Consider the following 20,978-nt stretch of genomic DNA (forward strand, 5'->3'; position numbering starts at 1 on the left):
TTTCTCTTTCTCTCACTGACAACTTACTAGCCATCAAGTTAGAAATTTGAGAGAAAAATAAATAAGATAGAGGATTTTATCATCCTTTCACTGCACATCCTTTTAAATCTCCAAATCAGAGTGGAGGTGTTGGGGGCAACCTCGGGTCAGGGGGAGCAGAGGTGTGACATCCGGAGGGAATTCAGGGGGAATTCCCAGCGAGCAGGCCCATTCCTCCCCAGATGTGCCTATTTGGCCCAGAAGCAGCAGAGCGTGTCCTTGTGGGAGTTTCTCACCTCCTGCTGGAAAGCCCTGGCCTATACTCTCCTGCCTGCGCCCCGCAGACCCAGCCTGAGCCCTGAGATGGGGATGGGCTGAGCTCCTCTGTAGGCAGCCGCAGCCCATTCCCATAGATACAGAGGAGACCCAGTGGGGAGGGCTCTCACCCTGCCGCCACCACCAAGCCTGTGCAGCTGGGTGCTGAGGGCAGGCCGACTCGGGAACCCACACATCCAAACAGCCCCGGGGCGCACTTGGATGGGTTCCACACCAAGAGCTGCTGAGTGCAGGGCGGACTGGATGGAGCAGAGATGCCTCAACAGCATGGGCTAGAAGTGGGCCTGACAAGGCAGAAAGAGGCTCATGGGGTGGGATTAGGGACTCCCCAGCCAGGCCCAGGGCGTCTGTGTACAGTGAGAGGAATGGCTCCCACTGTGAGATACAGGCTGGCCTCAGAAAATCAAACGCAGATGGGAAGGAAAGTGGGGAGCAGAGGGTGGCTCAGAGCCAGGACTTGGGTCTCTCCCAGGACTTGGGTCTCTCCCAGGGCTTCTATGGGAGCCTCTCCCGGTGCGTGGGCTAAGCCCTGTTCCATAGCAGTGATGAGGGAGGGACCAACCAAGGTGTGTGTGCCTTGGGGCCCCCATCTTGGCACCAAACCTTGAGGACATGGTCTCCCCTGCATCCCTCCCACACCCACGTGTGCCCTGGGTTCAGGTGAACAATGAGTGCAGAAGCCTAGTGAGCTAGAGAACCCTGCTCTTGGAGTTGTCCCTGCAGTCCCATCAGGCGCTGCGTATCAGAGCTGCACACCTGCACCAGCAGAAGGAACAGGACCCCAGGCTGCAGTGAGCAGGCGACCTCAGCGCCCTCTTCACTGAAGCACTGGAGCCTGGGCGGGTTTCCATCAGCGGAGTCAAGTAATTGAGCTCAGATTAGATTAAACCCAGACGCATCCCGTGTTTAGTGCCAATTACTCACGGCCAGCAGAGGCGGGCAAGGGGTCTGGACTGTGTCACGTCGTGCCTTCTTGGAGGCTGACTGCTCCCTCCAGCTCAAGGTGAGTTGACCCGAAATACCAACAGTCGTGTCGCTGGCTGTGTTTCACCTCCACCTGGCACTTTGCATGGATCTGATGCTGCTCAGGTGGGCGGCTCCTCTGCCCCCTGTTTACAATGGGGGTCAGAGCTTTGAACCCTCTGTCCTTGCCATCATTGGCTGGGCTGGCAGCAGAACAGAGGCCCACCTTGCACACCTCACTCACCCAGGCACAGGGCACAAGTGGGCATCTGGCCCCTGCATGCCCTCGGGAATCCCCATCACTATCTGGAGATTGCCACGTGAGTGAGGCGTGGGAGGCCAGGCAGGCAGGATGTGGGGGTGCTGCGATTTGTCATCTAGTGCTGAGTTTACAGCTTGAGAAGAAAACAACCCAGATTTAAGTGCTTTACTTCCTACTGGGAAATGGCTTGACTGTAGCCATGGCCTTAAGCCCAGGGCCGAGAAGCCCCAGCTGCACCCCCTTGGAGGCTGAGAGTGGCCTTCAAGCCAGCCCCAGCTCACAGCCCAGCTTGAAGGCACAAGCAGGGACAAGGCCACTGCAAGAAAAGCAATGAGTCCAGAGAAGGGCATTCAGGCTGGAGAGCTTGGCACTTGGAGTAGAATGAGTTATGAGTCTGAACCAGGGAAAACACTGGGGAGAAACTTGGGATGAAGCAGCAGGGCACTGGGTTGAGACTGGAGGTTTGGGAGGATGGCTCAGCGCCCTTACAGAGGTGGAAGGGATCCAGTGGTGACCACAGCATAACTGGGGGTGTGACAAGGCCCAGAGTTGAGCTCTGCCTGTGAAGATAGAGAGGGGAAGAAGGCACCTTTGCTGGGATTTCTCTTCTCATGTTTCGATGCACCTTTTTCCCATGGTTATTAATTACTCTTTTAGTGAATAAAGGCTGTGTATTAGTTATTTATTGTTGTGCAACCAGTTGCCTTAGAAAATAGCATCTCCAAACAGAAAAAATTGATTATCTCACACAGGCTTTGAGGATCAGGAATCTGGGAGCAGCTCACTTGGGTGGTTGTGGCTCTGGTTTCTCAAGAGGTTGCAGTGAGGACGTCGGCTGGGGCTGGATCATCTGCAGGCTCAACTGGGGCTGGAGGACCTGCTCTCAGGATGGCTTCCCTCATGGCTGTTGGCTGGAGGCCTTGGGTTCTGGATGACTGCTAATAGGAGACCTCCTTCCATCCATGTAGACTTCTCCACAGGGCTGCTTGAGTGTCCTCACTTTATGGCAGCTGGCTTTCTCCAGAGCAGGAGATCCTGATGACTTCTGAGATGGTTCCCTACATTCCATCCCCTGGCGTACACACCCTGTGCAATCCCCTTCCCTTGAGTGTGAGCTGGACTTACACAAATGGTGCGATCTCACCCCCATGATTATGTTACATTATACAGCAGAAGGAATATTACAATCAAGATCCGTGATCAGTAGACATTGGGTTAATCAGAAGTATTATCCTAGGTGGGCCTGATCTAATCAGGGGATCCTTTAAAATGGATCAGAAGGATTTGAAGCCAAGGAAGTTCCTGCTGACCTTGAAGAAGCGAAGGGTCATATTATGGAGGGTTCCAGGTGCCAAGACCCCAAGAGCAGCCTCTAGGAGCTGAGAGTGTTCCTAGCCCCTGTTAAGCTTGGCAGAGGGCCCCAGACCTCAGCTGAGATCTCAGTCCTGGCCAGCACTTTGATTTCAGCCTTGTAGGACCCTGAGCAGAAGACCACCCATACGGCACCTGTGATCTAGAGAACTGTGATATAATACATTTGCGAAGTTTAGAATAAGTTCCTGGTAATTCATCATGCAGCAACAGAAAATGAATACACTCATTCCCTGAAGTTGCACCCCATCACTTCTGCCTTTTCTCTGTTTGTCAGAAGTTAGTCACTAAGGCCACCCACATGTCAGGGAAGGGGTCTGCCTATTGAAGAGCGTGTTCAAGAACTTGTGGACTTCCTTTAAACCAACACAGTCTGGACAGTGCGTGTAGTGGGACCGTGTTAATACACCCAATGTGGAGATGAACAATGGCTAATCATTCTAACATCTAGAGTGAATTTGCACAGGGTGATAATGGACTTACGTAAGGCAAATGAGCATTTTATTTTAGGAAGTGACAATCCCAACTACAATGTCGTAGGTTGGTGCTTTTTTTTCCCCTTTTGATGTCCCCTTGCAAGCAATCTACAGAGTAATTGTGTAGATACAGGAGGAAGATGGAGCATTTCTGCCTTTAATTTGAAAGTTATGATGCATTAATCAGCCCCAGTCTGAGCCTTGCAGGAGTGCTAAATTTGGGATGCATTAGTAAGCATCTTCCAGATGGGGTGGGGGAGGAGGACATGGGTGGAGTTCAGATGACAACCCACAGGCAAATCTTTTGGGACACTTTTAACAGGAAAAGCTCACTGTCACCAAAGCTACATTCCACTTCTGAGCCATAAAACAGTTCTTGGCTCTTGGATTAACCAGTCTTCGATATTTGCCATCATGTCAGCGTTTGAAGCAACTGGGAGTTTTCTGGCTCTGCTTGGTCCATGAGAGATCATCCGATACAAGCACAAATGCTGGCTCAGGATTTCTTTAATTCCCACAAAATTTTCTCCTACATGGCTACACAGATGAAATGAAGACACCTTTAACTCCCCCTATTCAAGCTCTGCCTTTTGTGTTCCTAAGAGCTGTGGTCTGGGTGGGTGACGGTGGCTCAGAGAGCCATCACTGTTATAAACAGAGGAGGACCACATGCCTGTGACTTTATCTTCCCAAGAAGGAGAGAAGAAGAGAAAAAACAAACTGGATAATTTAAGAACGTGTCAGCAATTTGGCAAAAGACAGAGAAGTGAAAGAGCCATATGAGTTCATAAATAAGTCACAGATCCCAGCTGGATTTAGTAAAAATCCCCAAAGGTTTTGTGTACTGACACCAGTCAGGTTGGTTTCATTTCATCTTAGCTTTGGCTGGAGGCCTGCGTGAAGCAGGATGGATGGGGACATGAGCAAACGCAGGTTGTGGTAGAAAGGAAGAGTCCCCTCCCAGAAGGCCTCTGAGCCAGAGGTGCGAGTCAAAAGGAGCTGGGCTACCTCTTAGGCTGCCTAGACTGCATTTCCCATGGAGTCTATTAACATGGTTGCATTTTCAAAATGATGATGGTGAGGATAGCAAGTCTGATGGCCAAGTGTCCCAAGACAAAAGTGCTTGGGGACAGGGAATGCACTTGGGTTGGGGCTAACACAGTACCTTTTTTTTTTTCTTTCTTTTTGAGACAGCGTCTTGCTCTGTCTCCCAGACTGGAGTGCAGTGGCACAATCTTGGCTCACTGCAACCTCTGCCTCCCAGGTTCAAGTGATTCTCATGCTTCAGCCTCCCAAGTAGCTGAGACTACAGGTGCGTGCCACCACACCTGGCTAATTTGTATTTTTATTATAGTAGAAACGGGTTTTGCCATGTTGGCCAGGCTGGTCTTAAACTCCTGACCTCAGGTGATCTGCCCGCCTCAGCCTCCCAAAGTGCCACCCAGGATCTTGAACACCTGTGATCCCTCAATCTGAGTCCAAAGGGAGCTGCTCCTGCTCAGTGCACTGACCCTTAGATCTGGGTGCAGATGGAGAGCTGATGTCTCTGCAACACCCTGCTCTGGCCTCTTCTTCTGTAGGTCATGGTGTCTGTGTACTAGGGACACAAGAAACACAGGAAAGACATCATCTTGCATCATGGGCCATCTGTCTTCTGTTGGAGGCAAGTTTCTCACCTTCGGCACAGAGACTCCCAATTTTTGCCACTTTCTCAGATTGGGTAGAAGAAGATAGGAGGTGCCCACTGAATCCCTGGAACTTCCTGAACTGAGCTTGGAAACTGAGTGGGAGCTGAGACTTGACCCAGACTGCTCCATGGACAGCAGGTGTCAGGAGGAGGCAACCAGTCTGCAGCCCTCCTCTCCTGGGCCATGCCATGAATCCTCACCTGAAGGCGTTGTGCTGAGTTAAGGTAGAATGTGCATGCATTTTATCACTTAATCCTCACAACAATCCTAAAAGGTAGTGATTATTCTTGTCTTCTTTACAGATTAAAAAGTCAAGCAGCAAGTTGTCTTGTCCAAGGACAGAGGCCTACCTAGTAAGTGGTTGAACCAGAACTCAAGCCCAGGCCTTTCACTCTCACACTCTGGCACCCTCATATCTACACACTCCTTGAAACAGTACTGTGGGTCTTTGGCCTGAGGAATCTCTGGGGACAAACCCAGCAAACAGATCTTGAATTGGCCCAACAGGCACACACATGGGTCAGAGCTGCATGGAGTAATTCAGTCCAGGTGACTTAGCACCTGGCAAAGAGAAACAAAACTTACCTGGGATCTACTCACTGCTGCACTTGTGTGTTTCAAGGCAATTGTTTGTGTGGGTTGTGTTTCTGACACTCCTCTAATATCCAATATCTGACGTCTGTCCTCAGTTACATCAAGGGGTGTAGTGGGTTGAATAGTAACCCCCCAAAGTTATATTCTCATCTAAACCCCAAGACCTGAGAATATTACCTTATATAGCAAAAGATGTAATTAAGGACCTTGAGAGGAGGAACGTATCCTAGGTCATCCAGGGCCCTAAATGCCATGTATCCTATAAGAGGGAAGCCAAGGGAGTTTTGATCCAGACCTGCACAGGGGACAAGGCCCTGTGAAGACAGAGAAGGCCTTGGAGAGACATGGCCACAGCCCAGGAGCACCACAGAAGTTGCCAGAAGCTGGAAGAGGCCAGGAAGTCCTTTCCCTAGAGCCTCAGGCAAGAGCACAGCCAGGCCAACACCTTGACTTCAGACTTCTAAATTCCAGGCCTGTAAGATAATAAAGTCCTGATAAAGCTGCTGGGTTTGTGGCCATCTATTACAGCACCTGCAGGAACTAATACAGTGAGTAAAGCCCCTTCCCACCATGGCCTGTTCCACCTGCACTTAACGTGGCCTGGGAAGGGCATGGGCTGACGACTGTCTGATTGCACCTGTGTGAACCAGTAAATGAGAAAATCAAGAAGCAGTCACCCAGGCCAGCTCTGAAGACCAACCCCAGCCCAGCATCACACAAGCTGCCCAGACAACCACAGGGCCTTCCTGGAGATGCTACCCCAGGACCCAACACCCAGGGCCTAGAAACCAAGACACCAGAGTTGCACTCCCAGGAGGAGACGGAGGACATAGGATCCTTGGAAGCATACTGTTGTGCAACTCTGTTTTTAAATTAACATTCCATCTGCTACTATGGGAAAAGTATTTCATTCCTTTTACTGGCTACATAGTATCTCATTGCAGGATGCCTTTAGAAAGAGGAAAGAGAAAGGTTGTGCCTGGACAACACAGTGAGACCCCATCTCTACCAGACAAATTTAAAAATAGCTGAGTGTGGTGATGCACATCTCTGGTCCTAACTATTCGGAAGGCTGAAAAGGGAGGATTGCTTGAGCCCAGAAGGTTGAGGCTGCAGTGAGTTCTGTTCCTGCCACTGCATTCCAGCCTGGGTGACAACAGGATCCTGTCTCTAAAAAATAAATAGGAAAGGGCAGCTGTGCATGCAGCTTCAGCAGACTTAAATGTTCCTGCCAGCTCTGAAGACAGCAGCAGATCTCCCAGCACAGCACTCAAACTCTGCTAAGGGACAGGCTGCCTCCTCAAGTGTGTCCCTGAACCCTGTGCCTCCTAACTGGAAGACATCTCCCAGCAGGGGTCGACAGATACCTCACACAGGAGAGCTCCAGCTGGCATCTAGCAGGTGCCCCTCTGGGACAAAGCTTCCAGAGAAAGGAACAGGCAGTAATCTTTGCCGTTCTGCAGCCTCTGCTGGTGATACCCAGGAAAACAGGGTCTGGAGGGGACCTCTGGCAAACTCCAGTAGACCTGCAGCAGAGGGACCGGACTGTGAGAAGGAAAACTGACAAACAAAAAGGAATAGCATCAACATCAACAAAAAGGACGTCCACACAAAAACCCCATCCGAAGGTCACCAGCATCAAAGAACAAAGGTAGATAAATCCACAAAGATGAGGAAAAACCAGCACAAAAAGGCAGAAAATTCCAAAAATCAGAATGCCTCTTCTGCTCCAAAGGATAACAACTCACCAACAAGGGAAGAAAACTTGACAGAGAATGAGTTTGATGAATTGACAAAAGTAGGCTTCAGAAGGTGGGTAATAACAAACTCCTCCAAGCTAAAGGAGCATATTCTAACCCAAAGCAAGGAAGCTAAGAAACTTGATAAAAGGTTAGAGGAATTGCTAACTGGAATAACCAGCTTAGAGAAGAATATAAATGACTTGATGGAGCTGAAAAACACAGCACGAGAACTTTGTGAAGCACACACAAGTATCAATAGCCAAATCAATCAACTCAAAGAAAGGATATCAGACATTGAAGATCAACTTAATGAAATAAAGCATGAAGACAAGATTAGAGAAAAAAGAATGAAAAGGAACAAACAAAGCCTCCAAGAAATATGGCACTATGTGAAAAGACCACTACGTTTGATTGGTGTACCTGAAAGTGATGGGGAGAATGGAACTAAGCTGGAGAACACTCTTCAGGATATTATCCAGGAGAACTTCCCCAACCTAGCAAGACAGGCCACCATTCAAATTCAGGAAATACAGAGAAAACCACAAAGGTACTCCTCGAGAAGAGCAACCCCAAGACACATAATTGTCAGATTCACCAAGGTTGAAATGAAAGAAAAAATGTGAATCGGGAGCCAAAATGGCCAAATAGGAACAGCTCCGGTCTACAGCTCCCAGCATGAGCAACGCAGAAGACGGGTGATTTCTGCATTTCCATCTGAGGTTCCGGGTTCATCTCACTAGGGAGTGCCAGACAGTGGGCGCAGGACAGTGGGTGCAGTGCACCATGCGTGAGCCGAAGCAGGGCGAGGCATTGCCTCACTCGGGAAGCGCAAGGGGTCAGGGAGTTCCCTTTCCTAGTCAAAGAAAGGGGTGACAGACGGCACCTGGAAAATCAGGTCACTCCCACCCTAATACTGTGCTTTTCCGGCAGGCTTAAAAAACGGTGCACCAGGAGATTATATCCCGCACCTGACTCGGAGAGTCCTAGGCCAACAGAGTCTCTCTGATTGCTAGCACAGCAGTCTGAGATCAAACTGCAAGGCTGCAGCGACGCTGGGGGAGGGGCGCCTGCCATTGCCCAGGTTTGCTTAGGTAAACAAAGCAGCTGGGAAGCTCGAACTGGGTGGAGCCCACCACAGCTCAAGGAGGCCTGCCTGCCTCTGTAGGCTCCACCTCTGCGGGCAGGGCACAGACAAACAAAAAGATAGCAGTAACCTCTGCAGACTTAAATGTCCCTGTCTGACAGCTTTGAAGAGAACAGTGGTTCTCTCAGCATGCAGCTGGAGATCTGAGAACAGGCAGACTGCCTCCTCAAGTGGGTCCCTGACCCCTGACCCCTTAGCAGGCTAACTGGGAGGCAACCCCCAGTAGGAGCAGACTGACACCTCACATGGCTGGGTACTCCTCTGAGACAAGACTTCCAGAGGAATGATCAGACAGCAGCATTCGCGGTTCACAAAAATCCACTGTTCTACAACCACCACTGCTGATACCCAGGCAAACAGTGTCTGAAGTGGACCTCTAGCAAACTCCAACAGACCTGCAGCTGAGGGTCCTGTCTGTTAGAAGGAAAACTAACAAACAGAAAGGACATCCACACCAAAAACCCATCTGTACATCACCATCATCAAAGACCAAAAGTAGATAAAACCACAAAGATGGGGAAAAAACAGAGCAGAAAAACTGGAAACTCTAAAAAGCAGAGTGCCTCTCCTCCTCCAAAGGAACGCAGCTCCTCACCAGCAACTGAACAAAGCTGGATGGAGAATGACTTTGACAAGTTGAGAGAAGAAGGCTTCAGATAATCAAACTACTCCGAGCTGCAGGAGGAAATTCAAACCAAAGGCAAAGAAGTTGAAAACTTTGAAAAAAATTTAGACGAATGTATAACTAGAATAACCAATACAGACAAGTGCTTAAAGGAGCTGATAGAGCTGAAAGCCAAGGCTTGAGAACCACCTGAAGAATGCAGAAGCCTCAGGAGCCGATGCGATCAACTGGAAGAAAGGGTATCAGTGATGGAAGATGAAATGAATGAAATGAAGTGAGAAGGGAAGTTTAGAGAAAAAAGAATAAAAAGAAATGAACAAAGCCTCCAAGAAATATGGGACTATGTGAAAAGACCAAATATATGTCTGATTGGTGTACCCGAAAGTGACGGGGAGAATGGAACCAAGTTGGAAAACACTCTGCAGGATATTATCCAGGAGAACTTCCCCAATCTAGCAAGACAGGCCAACATTCAAATTCAGGAAATACAGAGAATGCCACAAAGATACTCCTCGAGAAGAGCAACTCCAAGACACATAATTCTCAGATTCACCAAAATTGAAATAAAGGAAAAAATGTTAAGGGCAGCCAGAGAGAAAGGTCGGGTTACCCACAAAGGGAAGCCCATCAGACTAACAGCAGATCTCTCGGCAGAAACTCTACAAGCCAGAAGAGAGTGGGGGCCAATATTCAACATTCTTAAAGAAAAGAATTTTCAACCCAGAATTTCATATACAGCCAAACTAAGCTTCATAAGTGAAGGAGAAATAAAATACTTTATAGAGAAGCAAATGCTGAGAGATTTTGTCACCATCAGGCCTGCCCTAAAAGAGCTCCTGAAGGAAACACTAAACATGGAAAGGAACAACTGGTACCAGCCACTGCAAAATCATGCCAAATTGTAAAGACCATCGAGGCCAGGAAGAAACTGCATCAACTAACGAGCAAAATAACCAGCTAACATCATAATGACAGGATCATATTCACACATGACAATATTAATCTTAAATGTAAATGGGCTAAATGCCCCAATTAAAAGACACAGACTGGAAAACTCGATAAAGAGTCAAGACCCATCAGTGTGCTGTATTCAGGAAACCCATCTCACGTGCAGAGACACACATAGACTCAAAATAAAAGGGTGGAGGAAGATCTACCAAGCAAATGGAAAACAAAAAAGGGCAGGGGTTGCAATCCTAGTCTCGGATAAAACAGACTTTCAACCAACAAAGATCAAAAGAGACAGAGAAGGCCATTACATAATGGTAAAGGGATCAATTCAACAAGAAGAGCTAACTATCCTAAATATATATGCACCCAATACAGGAACACCCAGATTCATAAAGCAAGTCCTTAGTGACCTACAAAGAGACTTAGACTCCCACACAATAATAATAGGAGACTTTAACACCCCACTGTCAACACTAGACAGATCAATGAGACAGAAATTTAACAAGGATGCCCAGGAATTGAACTCAGCTCTGCACCAAGCAGACCTAATAGACATCTACAGAACTCTCCACCCCAAATCAACAGAATATACATTTTTTTCAGCACCACACCACACCTATTCCAAAATTGACCACATAGTTGGAAGTAAAGCACTCCTCAGCAAATGTAAAAGAACAGACCCTATAACAAACTGTCTCTCAGACCACAGTGCAATCAAACTAGAACTCAGGATTAAGAAACTCATTCAAAACTGCTCAACTACATGGAAACTGAACAACCTGCTCCTGAATGACTACTGGGTACATAATGAAATGAAGGCAGAAATAAAGATGTTCTTTGAAACCAACGAGAACAAAGACAAAACATACCAGAATCTCTGGGACACATTCAAAGCAGTGTGTAGAGGGAAACTTATAGCACTAAATGCCCACAAGAGAAAGCAGGAAAGATCCAAAATTGACACCCTAATGTCACAATTAAAAGAACTAGAAAAGCAAGAGCAAACACATTCAAAAGCTAGCAGAAGGCAAGAAATAGCTAAAATCAGAGCAGAACTGAAGGAAATAGAGACACAAAAAACCCTTCAAAAAATTAATGAATCCAGGAGCTGGTTTTTTGAAAGGATCAACAAAATTGATAGACCACTAGCAAGACTAATAAAGAAGAAAAGAGAGAAGAATCAAATAGACAAAATAAAAAATGATAAAGGGGATATCACCACTGATCCCACAGAAATACAAACTACCATCAGAGAATACTACAAACACCGCTACGCAAATAAACTAGAAAATCTAGAAGAAATGGGTAAATTCCTGGACACATACACCCTCCCAAGACTAAACTAGGAAGAAGTTGAATCTCTGAATAGACCAATAACAGGCTCTGAAATTGTGGCAATAATCAATAGCTTACCAACAAAAAAGAGTCCAGGACCAGATGGATTCACAGCCGAATTCTACCAGAGGTATGAGGAGGAACTGGTACCATTCCTTCTGAAACTATTCCAATCAATAGAAAAAGAGGGAATCCTCCCTAACTCATTTTATGAGGCCAGCATCATCCTGATACCAAAGCCTGGCAGAGACACAACCAAAAAAGAGAATTTTAGACCAATATCCTTGATGAACATTGATGCAAAAATCCTCAATAAAATACTGGCAAACCTAAACCAGCAGCACATCAAAAAGCTTATCCACCATGATCAAATGGGCTTCATCCCTGGGATGCAAGGTTGGTTCAATATATGCAAATCAATAAATGTAATCCAGCATATAAACAGAACCAAAGACAAAAACCACATGATTATCTCAATAGATGCAGAAAAGGCCTTTGACAAAATTCAACAACGCTTCATGCTAAAAACTCTCAATAAATTAGGTATTGATGGGACATATCTCAAAATAATAAGAGCTATCTATGACAAACCCACAGCCAATATCATACTGAATGGGCAAAAACTGGAAGCATTCCCTTTGAAAACTGGCACAAGACAGGGATGCCCTCTCTCACCACTCCTATTCAACATAGTGTTGGAAGTTCTGGCCAGGGCAATCAGGCAGGAGAAGGAAATAAAGGGTATTCAATTAGGAAAAGAGGAAGTCAAATTGTCCCTGTTTGCAGATGACATCATTGTATATCTAGAAAACCCCATTGTCTCAGCCCAAAATCTCCTTAAGCTGATAAGCAACTTCAGCACTCTCAGGATACAAAATCAATGTACAAAAATCACAAGCATTCTTATACACCAATAACAGACAAACAGAGAGCCAAATCATGAGTGAACTCCCATTCACAATCACTTCAAAGACAATAAAATACCTAGGAATCCAACTTACAAGGGATGTGAAGGACCTCTTCAAGGAGAACTACAAACCACTGCTCAATGAAATAAAAGAGGATACAAACAAATGGAAGAACATTCCATGCTCATGGGTAGGAAGAATCAATATTGTGAAAATGGCCATACTGCCCAAGGTAATTTATAGATTCAATGCCATCCCCATCAAGCTACCAATGACTTTCTTCACAGAATTGGAAAAAACTACTTTAAAGTTCATATGGAACCAAAAAAGAGCCCGCATCGCCCAGTCAATCCTAAGCCAAAAGAACAAAGCTGGAGGCATCACGCTACCTGACTTCAAACTATACTACAAGGCTACAGTAACCAAAGCAGCATGGTACTGGTACCAAAACAGAGATATAGATCAATGGAACAGAACAGAGCTCTCAGAAATAACGCCGCATATCTACAGCTATCTGATCTTTGGCAAACCTGAGAAAAACAAGAAATGGAGAAACGATTCCCTATTTAATTAATGGTGCTGGGAAAACTGGCTAGCCATATGTAGAAAGCTGAAACTGGATCCCTTCCTTACACCTTATACAAAAATTAGTTCAAGATGGATTAAAGACTTAAATGTTAGACCTAAAACCATAAAAACCCTAGAAGGAAACCTAGGCATTACCATTCAGGACATAGGCATGGGCAAGGACTTCATGTCTAAAACACCAAAAGGAATGGCAACAAAAGCCAAAATTGACAAATGGGATCTAATTAAACTAAAGAGCTTCTGCACAGCAAAAGAAACTATCATCAGAGTGAACAGGCAACCTACAAAATGGGAGAAAATTTTCGCAACCTACTCATCTGACAAAGGGCTAATATCCAGAATCTATAATGAACTCAAACAAATTTACAAGAAAAAAACAAACAACCCCATCAGAAAGTGGGCAAAGGACATGAACAGACACTTCTCAAAAGAAGACATTTATGCAGCAAAAAAACATACGAAAAAATGCTCACCATCACTGGCCATCAGAGAAATGCAAATCAAAACCACAATGAGATACCATCTCACACCAGTTAGAATGGCAATCATTAAAAAGTCAGGAAACAACAGGTGCTGGAGAGGATGTGGAGAAATAGGAACACTATTACACTGTTGGTGGGACTGTAAACTCGTTCAACCCTTGTGGAAGTCAGTGTGGCGATTCCTCAGGGATCTAGAACTAGAAATACCATTTGATCCAGCCATCCCATTACTGGGTATATACCCAAAGCATTATAAATCACGCTGCTATAAAGACACATGCACACGTATGTTTATTGTGGCACTATTCACAATAGCAAAGACTTGGAACCAACCCAAATGTCCAACAACGATAGACTGGATTAAGAAAATGTGGCACATATACACCATGGAATACTATGCAGCCATAAAAAATGATGAGTTCATGTCCTTTGTAGGGACATGGATGAAATTGGAAATCATCATTCTCAGTAAACTATCGCAAGAACAAAAAACCAAACACCGCATGTTCTCACTCATAGGTGGGAATTGAACAATGAGAACACATGGACAGAGGAAGGGGAACATCACACTCTGGGGACTGTTGTGGGGTGGGGGGAGTGGGGAGGGATAGCTTTAGGAGATATACCTAATGCTAAATGACGAGTTAATGGGTGCAGCACACCAGCATGGCACAGGTATACATATGTAACTAACCTGCACATTGTGCACATGTACCCTAAAACTTAAAGTATAATAATAATAAAAAAAAATTCTCTTATTAAGAGTGCAGTTGAGATATTAGGAGCCATTTTCATCTATTTTTTGTGTCAACTGTCTGTTCATATCTCTAACATTTAAAAATAAAACAGTGCTATCGGCTTTTTTTAACCTCAAATTTTAAATGCTGTGTATAAAACAGGGCTATTTTAACGTTTTGTATCCTACATTGCATTTTTTTTCTAGTTTGTCATTTATCTTTTAATTTTGCTTATGGTGATATTTTGAAATGCAATATTTTTAAATTTTTCTTAATCAAATTTATCAATATTTTCCTTTGTTGCTTTTGGATTTTGAATTGTAACAAGAAAAGTTTTTCCCACATCCAGGGTATAAAGTAATTTACCTATGTTTTCTAAAAAAAAAAAAAAAAAAAAAAAAAAAAAGAAAAAATGTTAAGGGCAGCCAGAGAGAAAGGTCAGGTGACCCACAAAGGGAAGCCCATGAGGCTAACAGCGAAGCTCTCTGCAGAAACCCAACAAGCCAGAGTGGGGGCCAATATTCAACATTCTTTTAAATTTTATTATTATTATACTTTAAGTTTTAATGTACATGTGCATTCTCAAAGAAAAGAATTTTCAACCTAGAATTTCATATCCAGCCAAACTAAGATTCAGAAGTAAAGGAGAAATAAAACCTGTTACAGACAAGAAAATGCTGAGAAATTTTGTCACCACTAGGCCTGCCCTACAAGAGCTCCTGAAGGAAGCTCTAAATATGGAAAGGAAAAACAGGTACTAGCCACAGCAAAAACATACCAAATTGTAAAGACCATCGACACTATGAAGAAGCTGCATCAACTAACGGGCAAAATAACCAGCTAACATCATAATGACATGATCAAATTCACACATAACAATTTTAACCTTAAATGTAAATAGGTCAAATGCCCCCACCTAAAAGATACAGACTGGCAAATTGGATAAAGAGTCAAGACCCATCAGCATGCTGTATTCAGGAGACCCATCTCACGTGCAAAGACACATACAGGCTCAAAATAAAGGGATGAAGGAATATTTAACAAGCAAATGGAAAGCGAAAAAAAGCAGGAGTTGCAATCCTGGTCTCTGATAAAGGAGACTTTAAACCAATAAAGATCAAAAGAGACAAATAAGGGCATTATATAATGGTAAAGGGATCAAGGCAACAAGAAGAGCTAACTATCCTAAATATATATGCACCCAATACAAGAGCACCCAGATTCATAAAGCAAGTTCTTAGAGATCTGCAAACAGATTTAGGCTTCCACACAATAATAGTGGGAGACATACACAAGTCAATAAACATAATCCATCACATAAACAGAACCAATGACAAAAACCACATGATTATCTCAATAGATGAAGAAAAGGCCTTTGATAAAATTCAACATCCCTTCATGCTAAAAACTCTCAATAAATTAGGTATTGATGGGACGTATCTCAAAATATAAGAGCTATTGATGACAAACCCACAGCCAATATCATACTGAATGGGCAAAAGCTGGAAACATTCCCCTTGAAAACCAGTGCAAGACAAGGATGCCCTCTCTCACCACTCCTATTCAACATAGTATTAGAAGTTCTGGCCAGGCCAATCAGGCAAGAGAAAGAAATAAAGTCATTCAAATAGGAAGAGAGGAAGTCAAATTGTCTCTATTTGCAGATGGCATGATTGTATATTTAGAAAACCCCAGTGTCTCAGCCCAAAGTCTCCTTAAACTACTAAGCAACTTCAGCAAAGTCTCAAGATATAAAATCGAAGTGCAAAAATCAGAAGCATTCCTATACACCAATAATAGACAAACAGAAAGCCAAATCATGAGTGAACTCTCATTCACAATTGCTACAAAGAGAATAAAATACCTAGGAATCCAACTTACAAGGGATGTGAAGGACCTCTTCAACGAGAACTACAAACCACTGCCAAAGGAAATAAGAGAGGACACAAACAAATGCAAAAAACTTCCATGCTCATGGATAGGAAGAATCAATATCTTGAAAATGGCCATACATCCCAAAGTAATTTATAGATTCAATGCTCTCCCAATCAAGCTACCATTGACTTTCTCCACAGAATTAGAAGAGACTACATTAAATTTCACATGGAACCAAAAAGGAGCCTGCATTGCCAAGGCATTCCTAAGCAAAAAGAACAAAGCTGGAGGCATCATGCCACCTGACTTCAAACTATACTACAAGGCTACAGTAACCAAAACAGCATGGTACTGGTACCAAAACAGAGATATAGACAAATGGAAGAGAACAGAGGCCTCAGAAATAACTCCACATATCTACAACCATCTGATCTTTGACAAACCTGACAAAAACAAGCAATGGGGAAATGATTCCCTATTTAATAAATGGTGTTGGGAAAACTGGCTAGCCATATGCAGAAAACTGAAGCAGGACCCCTTCCATACACCTTATACAAAAATTAACTCAAGATGGATTAAAGACTTAAACGTAAGACCTAAAACTATAAAAACCCCAGAAGAAAACCTAGACAATATCATTCAGGACATAGGCATGGGCAGAGACTTTGTGATGAAAACACTAAAAGCAAAGGCAAGAAAAGCCAAAATTGACATGGGATCTAATTAAACTAAAGAGCTTCTACACAGCAAAAGAAACTCTAATCAGAGTGAACAGGCAACCTACAGAATGGGAGAAAAATTTTGCAATCTATCCATCTGACAAAGGGCTAATATCCAAAATCTACAAGGAACTTAAACATATTTACAAGAAAAAATAACCCCATCAAAAAGTGGGCAAAGGATATGAACAGACACTTCTCAAAAGAAGATATTTATGCAGTCAACAAACATATGAAAAAAAGCTCATCATCACTGGTCATTAGAGGAATGCAGATCAAAACCACAATGAGATACTATCTCACACCAGTTAGAATGGCGATCATTAAAAAGTCAGGAAACAACAGGTGCTGGGGAGAATGTGGAGAAATAGTAACACTTTTACACTGTTTGTGGGAGTGTAAATTAGCTCGACCATTGTGGAAGACAGTGTGGCAATTCCTCAAGGATCTAGAACCAGAAATACCATTTGACCCAGCAATCCCATTACTGGGTATATACCCAAAGCATTATAAATCAGTCTACTATAAAGATACATGCACTTGTATGTTTATTGCAGCACTATTTAGAATAGCAAAGACTTGAAGCCAACACAAATGCCCATCAATGATTGATTAGATAAGTAAAATGTGGCACATATACACCATGGAATACTATGCAGCCATAAAGAAGGATGAGTTCATGTCCTTTTTTTGTTGTTGTTGTTTTGAGACACAGTCTCGCACTGTTGCCCAGGCTGGAGTGCAGTGGCGCTATCTCAGCTCAATGCAAGCTCCGCCTCCCAGGTTCACGCCATTCTCCTGCCTCAGCCTCCCCAGTAGCTGGGACTATAGGCGCCTGCCACCACGCCTGGCTAATGTTTTGTATTTTTAGTAGAGACGGGGTTTCACCGTGTTAGCCAGGATGGTCTCGATTTCCTGACCTCATGATCCACCCGCCTCAGCCCCACAAAGTGCTGGGATTACAGGCGTGAACCACTGCGCCCGGCCGAGTTCATGTCCTTTGCAGGGACATGGATGAAGCTGGAAGCCATCATTCTCAGCAAACTATCACAAGCACAGAAAACCAAACACCGCATGTTCTCAGTCATAAGTGGGAGTTGAACAATGAGGACACATGGACACAGGGAGGGAAACGTCACACACTGGAGCCTGTCAGGGGGTAGGTGGGTATTTTTATTCAATTTGCATTAGGAGAAATACCTAATGTAGATGACAGGTTGATGGGTGCAGCAAACCACTGTGGCATGTGTATACCTATGTAACAAACTTGCATGTTCTGCACATGTATCACAGAACTTAAAGTATACTAAAAAATAAATAAATATTAAAGTTTGTGTTAAGGCTGGAATTCAAGCTAGTGTTGAAATGCAAAAATTGGCCTAAAATCTCTTACTGTTGGCTTTTTGTCTAAGCAGAGGGCCTATCTCATGAAAATTGTAGAGAATACATTTCACCTGGAGAAATGCTGATTTAATCAATGTGACGTTTAACCGAAAACACGGGCATGTAAGGATCCAAAGCCTCAGCCTACACATAAACTGCAGTTACCCTGGAGGATATCCAGTGATGTGCCTAAGTAAGACTGTCAGGAAAGGGCCATGGAGGAATTCACAGGGAAATGAAATGATTAGGAAGAGAGTGTGAAATAACCCTCACCCCTCAGGTGTGTGTGTACCCGCAAGTGGAGCCAAAAGGGAGTGGGAGGTCTGGGTCCTAGTGCAAGGATTGAATGTGAGCTCAGGTTTCCCTGAAGTTTGGTGGGGAGGCATCTGCAGCAGAAGCCTGCAATGCAGGCTGGGCTGAGAGCTGGAGCCTGTGTGTTGCTGGGGAAGATAGAAGGGTAAAGATTTTACAGGAAGTAGGGGCCTGGAGACCATATATCTCCACTGGCTGGGCTCTCCATGCTCTGCCGCACACCCCTAACCCACCCGCCCACCACAGTGGCCTGCACCTGGGCCTGCCAGGAGGTCGTAGGCTCCCCCATGGAGGAGGGAGGGCTCTGCTGCTCCCAGGCTCTGGGGATGCTCAGGGCTGCCACTGTGACAGGGCTTCCGCCAGCTCCTGTTCCCCTCTGTGAAAAAGCTCTGCTCGTGGCTCCTGTCCCTGCATCCATGCTCCCTGAGGCTGGCCATGACTCACCTCCATGTCTGTGGTGTCTCAAAAGGGCATACTCAATGCCATCTGCAGCTAAATTACAATGGAGTGGTTTCATAGACCCTTGGCCTCCAAGGACCAAGATTTCAGACAGCTGTGCCCTGGTAATCACTCATATGATTAATAAAGCAGGCAGCTTTTATGCCTGTCTTTTTTTTTTATTAATTTTTTGCATTGCTTAATCTTTGTGGTAATAAGTCTTACAAAAATAATCAAAATATTATAAAGACAAATGTGAATCATTCACCCAAGTGGCTTATCTTCTCTCGTTAACCCATTACCTCCCCCTCAGTTTTGCTCTCTCCCCATTGAAGCATATTTATTTACTTCGTCAGGAAAGGGACGTGATGAGGCAGGTGAAGACTATAGAATGGTCCTTCTGGGCTTGATCACAGGCCTGATGGAAACAGCTGAGCAGTGCTGAACAGCAATGCCTGTATGAATCATATGAGTAGCAGCAGAAGTGAGACACATGCCATTACAGCACCTGGGGAGGTGAACGTCCTCTCTGATCCTGCCATGCCCTTTCCCAGCTCCCAAAACCACCATCTGCATTTAAGATGCACTTTTTCCAATTGCATAACTATGCATGTACTATGTTTTATGCAGATCATGTTCACTATATATGCTGCATGGAAATTTAGTTTTTCACTTAAGATCCAACTGGCATCTTTCCATTGTAATTTGTATAATTGATCCATCTTAGTCTTTTCAATGGCAGCGTATTATTGCATAGATTATGCCATATGATGCCAGTGCTCTGTTGTGGCATAATTTGTTGAATGAGTTCCCTGTCAATGAAAAGCTGGGTTTTTGCAAACAAGACTGTGACATATTTCGTGTATATTCATCTTTATATACCCCAAACATATTTCTGTATTATTATTCATAAACCGTGGTGAAAGATTGAGTATATTTTATTTTAACAGATTTGATGACATCTTCCACCATAAAGTTTGTGCCAGTTTATAGCCCCACTCACAGTATGTAAGAGGATTTCACACTGGCCTTTTCAGAAGTTCAGGAATCCAATGTCAAGACTCAGGAACTTGTCCAGATGAGGCCATCAAGATACAGGGACTCTCATATAATGGAGGATTTTCCTTAGAGAATTTCAGGATTTCAGGACTGAACAGAGACTGAGAAGGGTAAAGGGTGGTAGGATTGAGCGAGTCAGGCCAGAAACCTCTAGTTAGCTACCATGACAGAAGGGAAACATGCATTCAACTTATTTAATTAAACCAAGCTGTGTCATTTTCTTGGCATCCTTTGCTTCCTTTTTATAAGGAAACTTTGGGGAAGGTAGCATTCATGCTGTCCCTTCAGGGAAGCTGATATCTCACCCAGGAACTGGGAGTGGATTTTCCTTTGGCCCCTTGATAGTGGATTTACCCACCAAATGCTTGTATTTTTGTAACCGTTTTTTAATTTCATTGTACGCACGCTAAAGAGGTGTTTGACTTTTTTCACATGTCTTTTATTAAAATGATTTCTGGAAAACATACTGAGCTGTGGATTTTGGAACCAATAGGAGTGGAATGCTGCCTGCCTCATAAAAACATAACCAAAAGCATGTTGAGCAAAATGGCAGGGCTTCCAAGGGCTGGCAAAGTACATCCTTGGAGAAGGTCCTGGGATCGTTCTATTGGACAACACAGCATTGGTTAAGCAACAGCAAAACTGTGTATTTTCTCAAGCCCAAATGCCAGCAGACTCCTTGAAAATTCTTTTTTGTGTGCTTGCTGCCCCTCCCAAGAACCTAGCAGCAGAAACCCTAAAGCTTTGCAGTTTGTGCTTTGTACCTGCTACCTGGACTTGGAGAGCATTTGTTTCTCTATTTCCTTCCACGAGCATCTGTCCATGATCAATAGGTACAGCTAAATGCAACCGAGGAGCCGAGGTCAGGAGGACAGTGAAACCCCAGGGCTCTCCCACACTGCTGGCAGACACAGCACCTCAGCTGAGGCCCAGGCATACTGCCGGGATCCCTGCTTGGCTGGGGTATGAGGTTCCTTGACTGGTTCTCTGGATCTAAGTCAAGTAATCTAA

General features: G+C 44.5%; 5 annotated features.

Moving 5' to 3' along the window:
* Positions 376-2,560: an enhancer, noted in NCBI's record as "VISTA enhancer hs2509". NCBI's record gives its function as "enhancer in: limb[3/6]" and the evidence as "EXISTENCE:transgenic organism evidence [ECO:0001131][PMID:17130149]".
* Positions 549-608: an enhancer, noted in NCBI's record as "active region_3308". NCBI's record gives its function as "activates an Ori minimal core promoter by ATAC-STARR-seq in GM12878 lymphoblastoid cells {active_cell/tissue: GM12878}" and the evidence as "EXISTENCE:reporter gene assay evidence [ECO:0000049][PMID:35858748]".
* Positions 1,619-1,698: an enhancer, noted in NCBI's record as "active region_3309". NCBI's record gives its function as "activates an Ori minimal core promoter by ATAC-STARR-seq in GM12878 lymphoblastoid cells {active_cell/tissue: GM12878}" and the evidence as "EXISTENCE:reporter gene assay evidence [ECO:0000049][PMID:35858748]".
* Positions 1,799-1,928: an enhancer, noted in NCBI's record as "active region_3310". NCBI's record gives its function as "activates an Ori minimal core promoter by ATAC-STARR-seq in GM12878 lymphoblastoid cells {active_cell/tissue: GM12878}" and the evidence as "EXISTENCE:reporter gene assay evidence [ECO:0000049][PMID:35858748]".
* Positions 4,253-4,312: an enhancer, noted in NCBI's record as "active region_3311". NCBI's record gives its function as "activates an Ori minimal core promoter by ATAC-STARR-seq in GM12878 lymphoblastoid cells {active_cell/tissue: GM12878}" and the evidence as "EXISTENCE:reporter gene assay evidence [ECO:0000049][PMID:35858748]".

The sequence above is a fragment of the Homo sapiens genome, chromosome 10, assembly GCF_000001405.40.
Source record: "Homo sapiens chromosome 10, GRCh38.p14 Primary Assembly".
Classification (NCBI taxonomy): Eukaryota; Metazoa; Chordata; class Mammalia; order Primates; family Hominidae; genus Homo; species Homo sapiens.